The following is a 15991-nucleotide window of genomic DNA, read 5'->3' on the forward strand; positions in this document are numbered from 1 at the left end:
ATCACTTGAGGTCAGGAGGTCATGACCAGCCTGGCCAACATGGTGAAACCCCGTCTCTACTAAAAATACAAAAATTAGCAGGGCATGGTGGTGTGCGCCTGTAATCCCAGCTACTTGAGAGTCTGAGGCAGGAGAATCACTTGAACCCAGGAGGCGGAGGTTGGAGTGAGCCGAGGTTGTGACACTGCACTCCAGTCTGGGTGACAGAGGGAGACTCCATCTCAAAAAAACAAAAACAAAAAGAATGGAAGCAGTATTCAACAAAAAAGGATCAGCTAAGTAAACAATATAATGAAATACAATATATCCATGCATATATATGTGGAGTAAAACTTATATTTACTGATAGGAAAAAATTCAAGAAATTTTTATTAGAGAACTCATCATAAAACATTAGTCAGCATAACCCCATTTTTGTAAAAATATATAATTATAACATACATGTGAAAAGAAATTAGAGGAGTATAATATAGTTATAATGATGAGTGTATCTTTTTTCTATTTTCTGTACTTTCTTACTTTTATAACTCAAGCATATGTTATTTGTGTATTTATAAAAAAAGAAATCCATCTTGCCAATCTCAAACTGCTTGATAAACACTTGTTTATTAATTACATGAGAGAATTAAATATAAGTTGGCAAAACACAGATGGAACAAAATTAGGGAATTAATCACTTCTCTCTTTGTTCTTCTCCAAACTGACTTGAATTGGTTCTTAAAGACTTCACTCACGTATCTCCTCTAAATAGAATTTATTCCTGAGAATGTTCCCACTTTTGTCCCTAGCCTATGGGCTGGTATCCTACTTATGTGCTATCATGATATTGCGTGCATGAATCATAATTGTTCTCATATAAAGTTTATAGATATATTACATTAAAATTCCTGTCTTTCCACCCTACCAGTCTCTATTCCTAGCTCCTTCTACTGTATCTAGCTAAAAAAGGAGGCACTCGGTATATGATTGTTCAGTGGATGGATGATATATAAGAAACTTTCCAAATAATTAGAAGTAAATTTATACTAGAAGTCCTGAAATAAGCTTTTTCAATAAACTAAAGTTACAACTGGAGAATAATTTTATATGGAACAACCACAAGTGATTTCAAAAATAGCTTTAATTTTCACCTGTCCAGTTGACTTCACAAGTGAACGGAATGATTTCTTGCATGCAATAGCTATTAAGAGTCTCCAAAATATACTGAAGTTTCACAAGTGCCATGTCTAATGATGCCTCAGTAAATGCCAGGGTATTAAAAATGTTAGAGAAAATAGAGATAAAAATGAATATACCAAAGAACAACATGGCTCAGCCATAGTAATGCACCATTCTCACTGTGAATTTCTTTCTTCCCTTAAAACAGGTCCCAGCTTCAAATCAATGCAGCCTCTATTGCTTCCTGATGCTTGATAACATCACTTATGTTGCCCAGGAAGAGCTTTGAGTTACTGATGACTCTCATTCCATGTCGCTATGTGTTCATTCACTCTGCAATGATTTACTGAATGCCTTCTATGTACCAAGCACTCTGCCAGGTGCTTGGGTACAAAAGGTAAGCAATTTTTTTCATAGTCGCTGTCTTTACTGGGCCAAGAGTAAGTGACAGAGATATCTATTAAATAATCATATAAATGAACAATTGTATCTGTGACAAATGCTACAAATGAGACATATCCATGCTATGAGAGCCTATAATGTACCTTCATTTTAAACAGCGACAGTTGGACTATGAGTAGAAGTTAATGCAAGACCAGACACCAAATGCCTCCTCTTTTTCTTTTAAGTATGGGGACTCTCTGGAAACAAAGTTAAATGAATGTGGTCCCTCATGTTTTTCATAACATTTAACAAAAGAAAAAAACTGCATTAAGTTTATTTGAGCACCAAAGTGGGACTCCTAGAGTCTAAATACATCTAGGAGAGCAGATCAGATCCTAAAAATGTGCCACAGATTTGAGAGGCCCCAAAGTAGAAGACCCAATTAAGTCACACCCAGACTCCTGACACAGAGAAACTGTGGGATAATCAAGACTGCTACTTTAAGCTGCTGAGTGTGATAACACTGTAGCACAACAATAGAAAAATAACACAAGGGCCCAATAAGCTGAATCAACTCTGAGAAGACTATTTACCTTAGTCATTTGTGAGCATTCTTAGAGCTGAAAGAAGTAATTTACTTAGGAACTTCATAATTCCTGTAAAATACTAAAATGTGATTAGTATGCAAATGAAAATTGAAAAGTAAAACCTCAATGTATAAAAATAAGGTTTTACTTTAAATTCTAAATCTGATAAATGCAAATGCGAATACTTTTGGAATAACCAAGAGAACTGAATTGAGTAGAACAAAAATTACGCTATATTCACAAGATATGAGAGGGCAAAAAAGAACAATGTAACAGTTGCCCACACTGTAGTCTGCTTAAGTTAGAGGGACATTATAATCTTTACTATTATGAATAAATAAAAATGAAATAATTTTTATGTATTATCCATTTTATGTATGTATGATTCATGCATACACCTATGTAGATTTATAATTCTTTAGCGCTCCCATAATGTTTGATCAACATAAGATAAAAGAAATAAATTCATATTTATGATGTCCTATTATGTATAAGACAGTGCTGGTACTTTCATATATATAGTATATGAACTGTCATTGTAATCGTTCTATCATAGATCAAAAAAGCTGCATTTCAGAAAGAAAACATGGATAAGTCACATTGTGAGTACAGGATTTTAGATCTATGATTGTCTGACTCTTCATACAATTTTTTCACCAAATATTCTTGATACACAGAGCTGATATTTAGTCAGTAAGCACAAGCACAGAATCAAGGCTGGCATTCCATCTAATTAGTTTGGTGGAGATTTTTGGATCAGTCAGAACCTTTGCTTTATCTGATAATAAAGTTTGAAATATCACATCTACACATTCCCAAAATACACTATTGAGATTTGCACATAAGAAGTTAATATGACTAAAAGTCTGGAAATAATATACAGCATATGAAGAAAAGTTTTTCTTGGTTCAAACCTTTCAACTTAAGTCAAAAGCTAAGAACGATGTTCAAGATTAGTGTTCTACAAAACAAAGAGTCTCTATAAAGACAGTGGTGATCTGCCATTTTCAAGTTCGAAAATAGAAGAGGGGGCCGGGCGCAATGGCTCACACCTGTAATCCCAGCACTTTGGGAGGCTGAGGTGGGTGTATCGCCTGAGAGGTCACAGGAGTTCGAGACCAGCCTGGCCAACATGGTGAAACCCGGTCTCTACTAAAAATACAGAAAAAAAAAAGTTATCTGGGGTGGGGGGAGGGGGGAGGGATAGCATTAGGAGATATACCTAATGCTAAATGATGAGTTAATGGGTGCAGCACACCAACATGGCACATGTATACATATGTAACAAACCTGCACGTTGTGCACATGTACCCTAAAATTTAAAGTTTAATAATAATAAAATTTTAAAAAAAGGAAATAAGAACAGCAATCCAAAAAAAAAAATTATCTGGGCATGGTGGTGGCGGGCGCCTGTAATCCCAGCTACTCGGGAGGCTGAGTAAGGAGAATCACTTGTGTTAAATCTTAACAGGAGAGATTTAGGAGAGGACATCTTTTAAGTGCAGTGGCTGTTCACATGCCTGATCATCATGTATCACAGCTTTGAACTCCTGGCCTCAAGGGATCCTTCCACGTCAGGCTCCCAAATAGCTGGGACTACAGGCACGCACCACTGTGCGTCAAGATGAAGACATCTTGACATAAGTATGGTTAGGCACAAGTAGTTTTCTAAGGAAAATATTGAGTACCAGTGCGTGGAAATATTTAACTATAGGGTAGATATTAATTTTCTTTGACTTTCTCACAGTTTAAGCATATTCCTGCCTAGGGACAGTAGACAGACTAGAAGTAGTCTCCAGGCACATAATTTTTTAACATGAATAACACTTGTGTCTTATATGAAACTGCTTGAGGTGGTCTTCAATTCATTCCAACTCTATTTTTCTATAATTCCACCTACTTATCATCATGACATTTCTTTCTCATCATAGAAATAAAATCAATAACTGAATACAGCATAAAATTAGATGTATCAAATAACAAGGAAAAGTAGTACATTTGGTTAATGACCTAAAATAAGTACAAAGGACGACTGCATCATCCTTCACTTACCAAAGCATTGGGAAATTTTATGCATTGAACAAATCTGAGGCTCATATTGTGTGCCAACAGTATCCTAGAAAACAGACTCATGATTTGGGAATGGTCAGCTAATGCCAAACTTTCCATGAGCAAAATCCCAACTTACATTAAAACTGGGAAACATTTCCAATTTCAATTAAAATAAACGTAATGATTTGGTATCAGTTTAATGAATAAATACATTTCAGCATATATTTGCACGTTTTATGTTTCCTAATTATTACAAGGAATTAAAAATTTATCACTCTTAACAGAAAGAGAGATGAGCATATTTTTCAACACTAATCCATTAAAGGTAACACTATTAATTAATCCACTATTTTATTCTGCTCAATGAACTCAATTATTCAGAGCTTAGTTGAAACTTTTTTTTTAAATTAAGCATGGAGACAGCTTGCAGTGCCTTGTAGAGAGAAATGTGTTCAGAAGTGTCAAACCTAATACAAGACACCAGATGATATTCAGTAAATATAAATTGATAGTAATTGATAATATTTGTGTTAAAAAGCATCAAAATAAAATGTCTTACAATTAATATCCATTTAAAACATCTAAGCCTTCCAAAGCCATCATAAAAGTATCATTGAAAGGTGAAAAAATTGTTTTTAGATTTGGCAGGATTGAAACTATTTGATGCCACATAACAATGAATATGAGTTGGATGGCACACAAATAACCAGTATTGTGAACTTTCCTTCTTAAAAAGGCTCATATACATTCTTTCAAAAGTCACATAAAAGATAAATGATAAAAGAAAATCTTCTTCCTCTGGTCCTTTCTCACAGGATATCCATTGGTTTATTCATTTCAGTTGAAACCTAGAGACTGGAAGCTAAAGCAGAGTTATTTTCTAGTCACCCTTTAAGATGCTCTAGGATATTGCTACTCAAACTGTGCTCTAAGACCAGCACCTCCTCAGTACCTGGGGGGCTTGTTAGGAATGCAGGTTCTCAGGCTCCATCCCAGAACTACTAAATCAGAACCTGCCTTTTGACAAGATCCTCAAGTGATTCATATACATGTTAAGGTTTGGGAGGCATGGCTGTAGGTATGTATAAATCACTTCCTGCTTTAAACTCCCCACCATATGATTAACATAAGAATGTTACCGTGGGAAAGTGCTTCATTAAAAAAAAAAACAAAAAAAAAAAAAACAAAAAAAACCCTCAAATTGACCATTTTAATATGAATTCAAAGATATACAAAATGTAAATTTAGAAAATAAAACATACTTGCAATGTTATTCTAGAATAGAAATATTAAAACTAGCTACTGACTTTAAGCTACTGTTATACTATTACACTATTATATATAAAAATACAATTTTAGAAAATTATTTTTAATTACACTTATTGAAGATATTTATATCAATATTATAACTGCAGAATGGTCAAATATTTTTGAAAAACGTAAGTGTATTTAAAATTTTAATCTAAATTTATTTTAAATTAAAGTTTAATTTTAAATTAAAATTTATGCAAAAATTAACTCAAAATGGATTAAAGACTTAAATGTAAGGCCTGAAACCATGAAACTACAGGAAAATTTAGGGGAATTCCTTTAAGGCAATGGTCTGGGAAAACATTTTATGGAAAAGACCACAAAAGCACAGGAAACAAAAGCAAAAATAGACAAATGGGATTATATCAAACTAAAAAGATTCTGCACAGCAAAGGAAACAATCAACATAGTAAAGAAATAACCAACAGAAAAGAATAAAAGATTTGCAAACTATTTGTTTTATAAGATATTAATGTCCAGAATATACAAGAAACTCAAACAATAGCAAAAACAAATAATAAACAAATAGTGTGATTAAAAACCTGGCAAATGAACTGAATAGACATCGCTCAAAAGATACATACAAATGGCCAACAGGTGTATGAAAAAAATACTCAACACCACGAATCATCAGTGAAATGTAAATGAACACCATAATGAGATATCTCACTCCAGTTAGAATGTCTATTATCAAAAAGACAAAAGATAATAAATAATGGCAAGGACATGGAGAAGGGAACTCTCACACACTGTTGGTGGGAATGTAAATTAGTGCAGCCATTATGAAAAATAGTATGGGGCTTCCTCAAAAAACTGAAAATATAACTACCATTGATCCAGGAATCCTACTACTTGGTATATATCCAAACGAATTGAAATCAGTATGTTGAAGAGATAACTGCACTCCCAGGTTTAGTGTGGCACTATTCATGATAACCAAGATATGTAATCAACCTAAGTATCCATCCACAGATGAATGAAGAAAGCAAATGTGGTGTATGCGTCTGTGTGTGTATATATGAATAATGGAATGTGTGTGTGTATGTGTGTGTGTGTATATATATAATGCCCATTCACGTTTGAAAAACATGTATATACACACACACACACACACACACAATGGAATATTATTTGTCCCTAAAAAAGAATGAAATCCTGTCATTCACAGCAACGTGGATGAGCTATGTCAAGTGAGATAGGCTAGACACAAAAAGACAAATATTATTTGTTCTCACTCATATGTGGAAGCTATAAAAGTTGATCTCATAGACGTAGAGAGTAGAATAGTGGTTACTAGAGGCTAGAAAGTGTGGGGATGTGAGGATAGCCAAAGGTTGGTTAATGGATATAAAACTCCAGCTAGATAGGAGGAATAAGTTCTACTGTCCTACAGCATTGTAAAGTGACTATAATTAACAACAATTTTTTGCATATTTTTAATAGCTAGAATAATGGATTTTGAATATTCCCAACAAAAAGAAATGATAAATATTTGATGTGATGAACATGCTAATTACCCTGATTTGATCATTATACATTGTATGTAAGTGTGGAAATATCACATGTAACTCATATATATGTGTCAGTTAAAAATATATAATAAAGCAAAAAAGACCTATAAAAATTAGGCTGGGGGCAGTGGCTGAAGCCTATAATCCTAGCACTTTGGTATGCCGAGGCAGGAGGATCACTTGAGGCTAGGAATTTGAGACCAGCCTTGGCAACACAGTAAGATCCTGTCTCTACAAAAAAAATTAGCTGGGTGTCGTGGCATGTGCCTGTGCTTGCAGCGACTTGGAAGGATCCCTTGAGCCCAGGAGTTTGAGATGCAGTGAGCTATGATCATGCCACTGGACTCCAGCCTGGATAACAGAGTGAGGCCCCATCTCAAAAACGAAAATTATATCCATAATATACGTTATACTTTACATTATTTATAAAGCAGGTTTGCAAAAAAAAAAAAATCAAATGTTTTCTTTTAGTGCTTCATGCAGTGTCTGATATGTTGTAGGAACTCAATATTTATTAAAATCTTTAATTTTACATTTTATTCTGTACATCACAAATCAAATATATGTATACTTCATATTTATTCATATGCATTTATACTGTGTAAATGCTGTATAAACATGTATGTATGATTTCTTACCACTTACAATTTTGCTCTGTTGTTATTGTTGTTTTCCTTCCTGAATATTTTCTTTTAATACTCCTCATCAAAGGTATGTCTACATTCTGCCCTTTAAATAACATCCAGTATTTCCAGGTCAAACTGATACAACTTGCTTTCCTGCAAACCTAACTTTATGCTTATTCCAAATTTCTATTTCTAACTTTTATTTTTACAACAAATTCAGTTAATCACCTTGTCATATCTTCTTGTATCCCACATTCTGATCCCCATTTTTTTTTCTCTAAGTAGTCTTATTTGGAAGATGTTTAAGCACAAAGATTGTTTCAGAAGTTTAAAATCTGCATGATTTTATGCAAGGATTAGAATTCCTAGACAAATGAAAAAATATTTCATGGTGCAAATATAAAAGAAAGACATATTTATTTGAGTTTGAACAACAGAGTGATCACACATCCTTCACCTACCTCAAACAGATCATATTTAGCTGACATGACTATGGGTTTCATGAAATTAATCTCTGACCTGATTTTTTTTAACCACAGCAGTGTCAGCTTTCTATTAATAGGCTCTTATCCAGCTGAAAATGTACATAGCTTCCTGATGTGTGCCAGCCCAGGAACGTGAAGGATACCCATTCCAAAGTAGGGCAAGGTGTCCTGGTCGAAGAACCAGAGGGGTCGTTTTTAAAAGTTCAGTTTAAAATGCAGATAATATGTATTATATATTGCATGTAGGTGGCTGAATATATATACAAACACCATTGATTATAGAACAAGTCACAGTTTGTATTTCAGAAATGCCTGTTGAGTTGAATGGAAGCAGGTTCAATGTAGCAATATTAAGAAGAAATAAATATTGCACAAGCTACAGTCTCTCTCCTAAGGTTTTCAAATATATATTAGTGGAAAAAAAAATAAAGTGCCTCTCTAATTTTGCTGATTATTAGCTGGAAAATGTTACTTGCTAGATAACTTCATTTCTTGGCTTGAAAGTCATTGCTACAGAAAGAATAATCTTGTTCGTCAATGTATCATTAGTTGTCACAATCATGAGCTCTGTGACCTTGATAAAGGAACTCCTTTTTAGTTTCAGATTGCTAATATAAAAGGGAGACTATTTATTTTTAAAAAGATTTATGTAAAAATATTTCATGAAAAATAAATTTGTTTGTTTGTTTTTTGAGACGGAGTTTTGCTCTTGTCACCCAGGCTGGAGTGAAGTGGTGCGATGTTGGTTCACTGCAACCTCTGTCTCCCGGGTCCTAGTGATTCTCCTGCCTCAGCCTCCAAGTAGCTGGGATGACAGGTGCCCGCCAACACACCCGGCTAATTTTTGTATTTTTAGTAGAGATGGGTTTCGCCATGTTGGCCAGGCTGGTCTCAAACTCCTGACCTCAGGTGATCCGCCCATCTCGGCCTCCCAAAGTGCTGTGATTACAAGAATGAGCCACTGCACTGGGCCCAGGAAAAATAAATTTGCCATTCTCCTATGCTAATTTTATATGAGCCCTCTAAAAATTTGTCTTCCAGTGAGTAAGAGAGAGTTATAGTAATCAGATACACACTGGTATATTAGTTTTCTACTGCACCATAACATAGTACCACAAATTTAACACAAATTTATCTTACAATTCTGTACTTGGAAGTCCAACATGGGTCTCAAGGAGCTAAAATCAAAGTGTCTTCAGGGCTACATTCCTTTCTGGGGCCTCTAGAGAGAATCCATCTCCTTGTACTTTCTACCTTCTACAGGTTGCCACATAACTTGGCTCATAGCTTCTTCCTCTATCTTCAAAGCCAGTGCTGGCTGATTGCATCTCCCGCTGGCCACCAACAGAAAAAGTTCTCCAATTTTGAGGACTTCCGTGATTTTATTGGGCCCACCCAGATAATTCAGGGTCCTCTCTCCCGCTCGAGGTTCTTAATAAAACCACATCTGCAAATTCTCTTTTCCAGGTAAGGTAACATATTTACAGATTCTGGGGATTAGGACATGAATATTTTGGGGGACAATTATTCTGTATACCACAACCAATATTCTCACTACTCTTCATCAGTAGACATTGTGTGAGCACTCTCTTATGCACAGTTTGTTTAGGCCTGCTCAGTGAAATTAAGTATTGCTCAAAATCCATGGCTCACAACCGTGTATCTTTTGGGCATTCTAATTTAAAAAATGCCCATTCACATTTGCAAAATTGTCAAGTTGTGTGACAACCTTAGTTGAGAATCTGCTTTTTTCTCTCCTCCTCCTCTTTCTCATCCTCTTCCTTCTTCTCCCCTCTCTCCTCCTCTTCTTCCTTGTTCTTTTTTATGAATTTCTCTCCAGTAACTCAAACATTTTATTATAATAATCAACATTTATTAAATATATTTTACTAAAGGAATAAATGTGTAAATAAATCAATGATGAAACTGAAGAAGTATAACAATTATAAAATTGCCTAGCGTCATGTTGAATTTGGCTGAAACAACTGTACACTAAATAAGTTACCATTATTCATTGGGTAATGTAGTATTATGAACTTAGTGTGCAAGATTGCAAGATACATTAGAAGTGAGGAGATTACAAAAATGCTAATATAATGTATTATCTGTAGCTGCATAATAAAAGATTCCAAAGTTTAGTGGCCTAAAACAACTGTAATCATTTATTTTGCCCAGAAATTTGTAATTTGGTTAGAGTTCAGCAGGTATGGCCTGCCTCTGCTCCACAGTTGTCACATGTGGTGGCTCTACTGGGGACTAGAGGATCCATTATCAAGATGACTCATTCACATTGCTGGAAAGTTGGTGCTGGCTGTTGGCTGGAAGCTTGGCTGGGTTTGCAGGTCAAGGTCTTGGTCTCTTTCATTATGGGCCTGCCTCCAGGCTGCTTTAATTTTTTCACAGCATAGTTTCAAAAGCAGGTATCCCAAACCAGCAACCTGGATATGTCTGGTATTTTTATGATCTAACCTTGGAAGTCATTTTCACTGTATGTTCTTTGTTGAAGCTGTTATACAAGTCTGTTTGTGTTTAACGGGAGGAAAAGTAGACCTCACCTCTCAAGAGAAGAAGAGTCAAGATCACAGTATAAGAAGAACACATGAGATGGGAAATCTTGCTGCAGCCACTTTTGAAAAATACAATCTGTCACATACAGACATCCATATATGAAATAACAGGAGTTTAAATTAGAACAGGAGTTCTAATTTAAAAAATAACTGAAGTTTAAATGAGAAGAAAAAGGAAAAGGTGAATACAAGAAATGAGGACTCCAAAGTTTAGAGACTGTGCATACAGATAAAAAAACAGAACCCTGCAGGTCCAGAGAAATAGCTGATTATGGGGAAAATTTCATGAGTTTCAGTGTGCACATGTTGGGCTCTTGACCTCCACACACTTTTGCTCTCTTCCAGGCAAATAGTTTCTCTCTTTGATTTCTTTTCCTCCATCTCCATTCTTCAGATTTCCATTGCCCATGAAAAGAATCTTCTTGTGCATGATCACAAATTTATCATGAAAAGAATCCTCTGTTATTGTGAGTTTTAAGCCACTATACTACATGATTGATTTGGATCTTTATCCCTAATTAATTGGAATTAGTAGGGAATTTGTTTTTAAAGTCTATATGTAGTTAACTAGGGTTGCGGCTTTAAAACTTCAACGTGTGTCAGAATGATCTAAAAGGTTTGTTAGAACACAGATCACTAGGCCATACTCTCCTCTTACAGTTTATGATCCCAAAAGTCTGAGATGTATCCCAGTAATGTCCCTTTCCAATAAGTGCCCAGGTGATGTTGACACTGCTGGTCTGGGGACTACACACTGACAAACTCTGATCTGGGAGAATAAAACTTATTCGGAATTTTCTCAAAGTTGTTATGTCCATATAGCTCACATGCATTCATACATTTTGACCCAAATCAAAAAACAGGAAAGAATGCCTAGTATACCCATGCTCTTCACAGAGTTTTACAAATAGAATTTTTTTTTCGTTTTTGGAGGTAATACAATATAGATAAATGGAGATAGATTATCTTTTAATCCTTCTTTTCTCACACACTGAGGCAGAGTTAGGCTTTCCACCTCAGTAAAACCTCCTTCCGTTAAATTGAATATTGAATAATTTCTGAGAGCTTAAGCTAGCAAACTAAACTAAAGTGGACAAAATTAACTGCCTGAAGTTGTCACCTTTTAAAGATGGGCAATCTTCATCTAAAAGCAGGAAGAATAGAAGTGGAAACCTAAGTTTTGCCTGAATGTTAACAATAGCAATATTCTAATAAAGCCAGCAAGTCAAATTAAAGATGATGTCCATTGGATAAAAGTGTACCAAGGATCCTAGAAGGAGGAGCCTCAACAAGCAAAAACTCAGTTGCTCTCACCAGTGCCCAGGACAGCAAGGTGCAGAACCTAGTGACAATGGAGATTCTAGTCATGGAGTGTTCTGACAGAAGCAGGAAAATAGGGACCTTTTTTGTCCACTGCTATTGGTCCAGCTCCAAGTAAAATGCTTGGCAATGAGGACATGACATTCAATCAATATTAGTTGAATGCCTCACTCTACATGTCAATTTTTACATTGCTGCCCATACAGTCTCAAAAAGGGGTTGCTATACGGTGAGGATTACTATCTCAGAGACAAAACTCTGAGAAGTCCTTAGGATTCTATTCATTTTCTCTCTGCTCCTCCAAACATCCATTTTATATATCTTGTGAGACTAGATCAATTTCTTCTAAAAAACAGGACGTTTCTAGGAGACACCCACAAGGTCACCCTTTCTCCACATTTTCCAATTAGATTTAAACAATCCAGTTTGAGTGAGCAAGGTGTCTTCTTCATGCTGAATTCAACTTTTCACCATAGAACATAGTGCCATGAAATAAACATACATTGATAATAGAATAATAGATATTAAAACTAAAAAAAGAACATAAAAATATCATTCATCATAGCCTCCCCCAATTGAAACAAAAATCTATTGGATAAACAGTGACTTTTATGCAATGAAACACTGTACAGAAAGAAAAATAACAAACTCTAGCTACATACAACAACATAGATGACTCTTATAAACAAAATGAGGAATTAATGCAGCAAAACACAGAACAATACATGCCATGGTGCTCCATTTATATAAAGAACAAACTTAGCATAACTATGTTGTTTATCGATGTTGAGGTCATAAAACTATAAAGCAAAGAAAGAAAACCATTACCAAAAAAGCTGGTTCCCTGGAGAGGAAAGTTCAAAGAAAGAGGAGCCTTAATTGGGAAGCGACACCAAAGTGAGAGTCAAAGTATGGATAGATGAATATGGGCTTCCCATGTGCTGGAAATAGTTCCCTGATCTGGGTGTTGGTTATGTGGATATCAACTCCATTACTCCTTAGTAAATGATATATAAAGACAGTTGACTCTTGAACAACATGGGTTTTAACTGTGTAGTTCCACTTACGTGAGAATCTTTTTAAATGAAAGTTATAGTGCATATGCCTGGCTCTCTGGCCTCCCCTTCCAACTCCTTAACCTCTTCTGCTTCTGCCACCACTGGGACAGCAAACCAATCCTTCCTCTTTTTCCTCCTCCTCAGTCTACTCAATGTGAAGATGATGAAATTGAAGGTCTTTATGATGATCCAGTTCCACTAAATGGATACTAAATATATTTTATCTTCTTTATGATTTTCTTAAAAAACATTTTCCTTTCCCTAGCTTACTTCATTGTAATTATCTCTCTCTCTCTATATATATATACAGACACACACACACACACACACACACACACAGGCACACGCACACACATATAACATACAAAATATGTGTTAATCAACAATGTTTTTGGTAAAGCCTCTGGTCAACAGTAGGCTATTAATAAAGTTTTGGGAGGAGTCAAAGTTATATGTGAATTTTCGACTGGTAAGTCGGTGTCCTTACCCTTGTGTTGTTCAAGAGTCAACCGCATATGTGAGTTATGAAACTTTCAGAGTCTGTATTTTACTAAAATGAATTTTTAAGAAAAATATTTTAAAAATTATGATGACTCATAGTATGTTTTTAAACACTGAACTGAGGAGACGGCTGTTCTCTTGAAAACTAAGCGGGACAGCATTATTCAGTAATCACCACAGTGTCCTAATTCTTTTTACACTTGTATATAGAGTTCTTGCGCATTTTGGCCTCTAGCTCAGTATTACCTAACAACTTAATTTTAAGCAAGTTTTTATATGATTTGAAAATACATTTGTCATCATGATAGTATTGCAAAGGATTAAAGAAACACTGGAGGTACTCTAAGCACATGTAGAGTTCACTATGACAAAATATTGGGTGACTCTCAAGTAAAAGAAATGTAATCCACCTTGAGGTTTGCTATTTAGCTTGTGTAAAACTCTATCGGGCAATTTTGCAAAGCACTCTCTTTCACTTTACCCATCAGAACTGCTTCCACCTGTGCCTCTCCTCAAATTATGCTGTCACTTTGCAACTCATTAGTTAGCTCAAGGACACAGAAAATAAGTCATCACCTTTCACTGATTTTTCTCAAGAGGGAAGTATGTCATTCCATTTAGTTTGTGAATCTTTTTGCCCTGTATTTCCCTGAGGTTATTGTCTTTTTTTTTCCCTTTCTATTATAGAATTATAAGTAGCAAATTGAGGCAAACAAATAACTGATTGGAGAAGCAAAATGACCTTCTCACCAATCCAAATCCCCTCTATTGACATAAAAAGAATCTTATATATAAAATTGAAAGATAACTAAGCTTAGAGTTTCTCATAGTTGAGGATTTCAATCCCATCTCCTTTGAAGCTACCACTAGCATCTATACTCATCTTTATGTTCTTGTTAACTGTGGTGTAGTTTATCATCTCTGATAGGAAAATTTTGGGGGTGTTTATGGAGTCAAAATTATGGTGAGAGGTGCTACTGGGTACTAATTATTTTGCAATCTTTAGGGAAGATCGTTGCAACAAATTTTTCCACCCTGAATGCCAATAAAGTGTGTCTCCTTCAGCTTGGTTCACTGAACCCAAGATCACCATATTTATTAATTTAGTTTAAGAAATCAAATACTTGTTTCTAAAATGAATTAACCTGGAATTTTTAGGATCTAGGGATGTTGTTAAAAACTTAATTCTTTGCTCTTTCTTCTGTGTTCCTGTCCTTTAATTTAGAAACATTCTTCAAATGTTAACATAAGTTCTCCTCCTTTATGTCAGTCCCTGACCAACCAAATCCATCCATTCTCCTAGCTTCTTAGATTTTCCCAATATTAATATCTCATCAGTTGATTTGCTTATTTGTTTTATATTGATTCATTCCCTAATAGCTTTATACATGTAAACATTGTCTATTTTAAATTTGACAAGAAACCAAGAAACCTATCTCACAATTTTTGTATATAACTTTATACATACTTCTTTCAAGAAACTTTGAACTGGCAGCCCAGTGTCAGAGAGTTACATATACAATTATCTCATCATTTCTTGAGGACTAGATTTCTGTATATTTTACATTTCATCCTTAGAATTAAAACAGTACCTGGCAAAAGTAGATACCAAAAATATATACAAGTGATGTTTGTTAGGTGCATGCTTATCACTCAGGGGGTCAGACTTTTCATTCCTCTCCATCCACAGGTAAATGACAGAGTGATAGGAAGAAGATAAAATACTATGTCTCAAAGCACCTGGGTATTGAGAGCTCACGTCCCTCAAAAACAGAGACCCATACCACGATAGTATAGCACATCATTCTAGCCAGACCAACAAGACACTTCAAATCCTGAGGGACTGGGCAGAAACTGAGCAGTGAAATCTGGTCTACTTAATTCAAGAGGTAGCCAAAATTTTCCGGAAACTGTCAGAACTATTATTTCTAATATAACTCTCAGTCACTATGAACAAAGGCCCTAGAGAATTCTGCTGACTTATTGCCTTAATCTAGTCATTACTGCTACCCTAAGTACTTTCTGCTCACATTTTCAGAGGCTTGGTCTATGGACCCTGTCATGCTTTTACAGCAACTCTTGACAAGACCACTGGCCTGACCACTAGTTCTCATAGTATTTAGAACAACTCTGCCAACAGATTTGGTTTTACTGTAGCAACTGATTCTTCTTTGTAAGCCAGAAGAAACTCGTTTAATGATTACCTTTCTGACAGTTGGTATTTTTTTTTATTTCTTCATGAACTGGAAATGGTCTCTATACATACAAAGTAAGCTCAAAGTAGCGTATGTGGGGATGGAAATCAGCAATAGAGGTTCAAATAATGGGAGAACACTCAGATGGGATGACAGGGAACTAGGAAACATAATAACTGTTAAAAACGAATCAGAAACATGAAACATCCAGCTTTTATAGTATTATAGCAACAGTG

At 35.2% G+C, this 15991-nt stretch overlaps 1 protein-coding gene and 1 long non-coding RNA gene across 7 annotated transcripts in view, besides 1 other annotated feature; one reads left to right on the forward strand and one right to left on the reverse strand.

The window, feature by feature from the left end:
- Positions 1-15991, reverse strand: part of TRDN (triadin) — a 420612-nt gene that overhangs the window by 392611 nt on the left and 12010 nt on the right. The gene's annotated exons all lie outside the window — the stretch shown is intronic.
- LOC105377981 (uncharacterized) overlaps positions 1370-15991 on the forward strand; it is a 58946-nt gene continuing 44324 nt past the window's right edge. The window contains exon 1 of the long non-coding RNA XR_942943.3: positions 1370-1555. This is a non-coding gene — a long non-coding RNA (uncharacterized LOC105377981). The remainder of the gene's footprint in view (positions 1556-15991) is intronic.
- Positions 1922-2122: a silencer, noted in NCBI's record as "peak6091 fragment used in MPRA reporter construct". NCBI's record gives its function as "represses an SCP1 promoter by STARR-seq MPRAs in K562 erythroleukemia cells {active_cell/tissue: K562}" and the evidence as "EXISTENCE:reporter gene assay evidence [ECO:0000049][PMID:32103011]".

The sequence above is a fragment of the Homo sapiens genome, chromosome 6 (assembly GCF_000001405.40).
Source record: "Homo sapiens chromosome 6, GRCh38.p14 Primary Assembly".
Taxonomy (NCBI): Eukaryota; Metazoa; Chordata; class Mammalia; order Primates; family Hominidae; genus Homo; species Homo sapiens.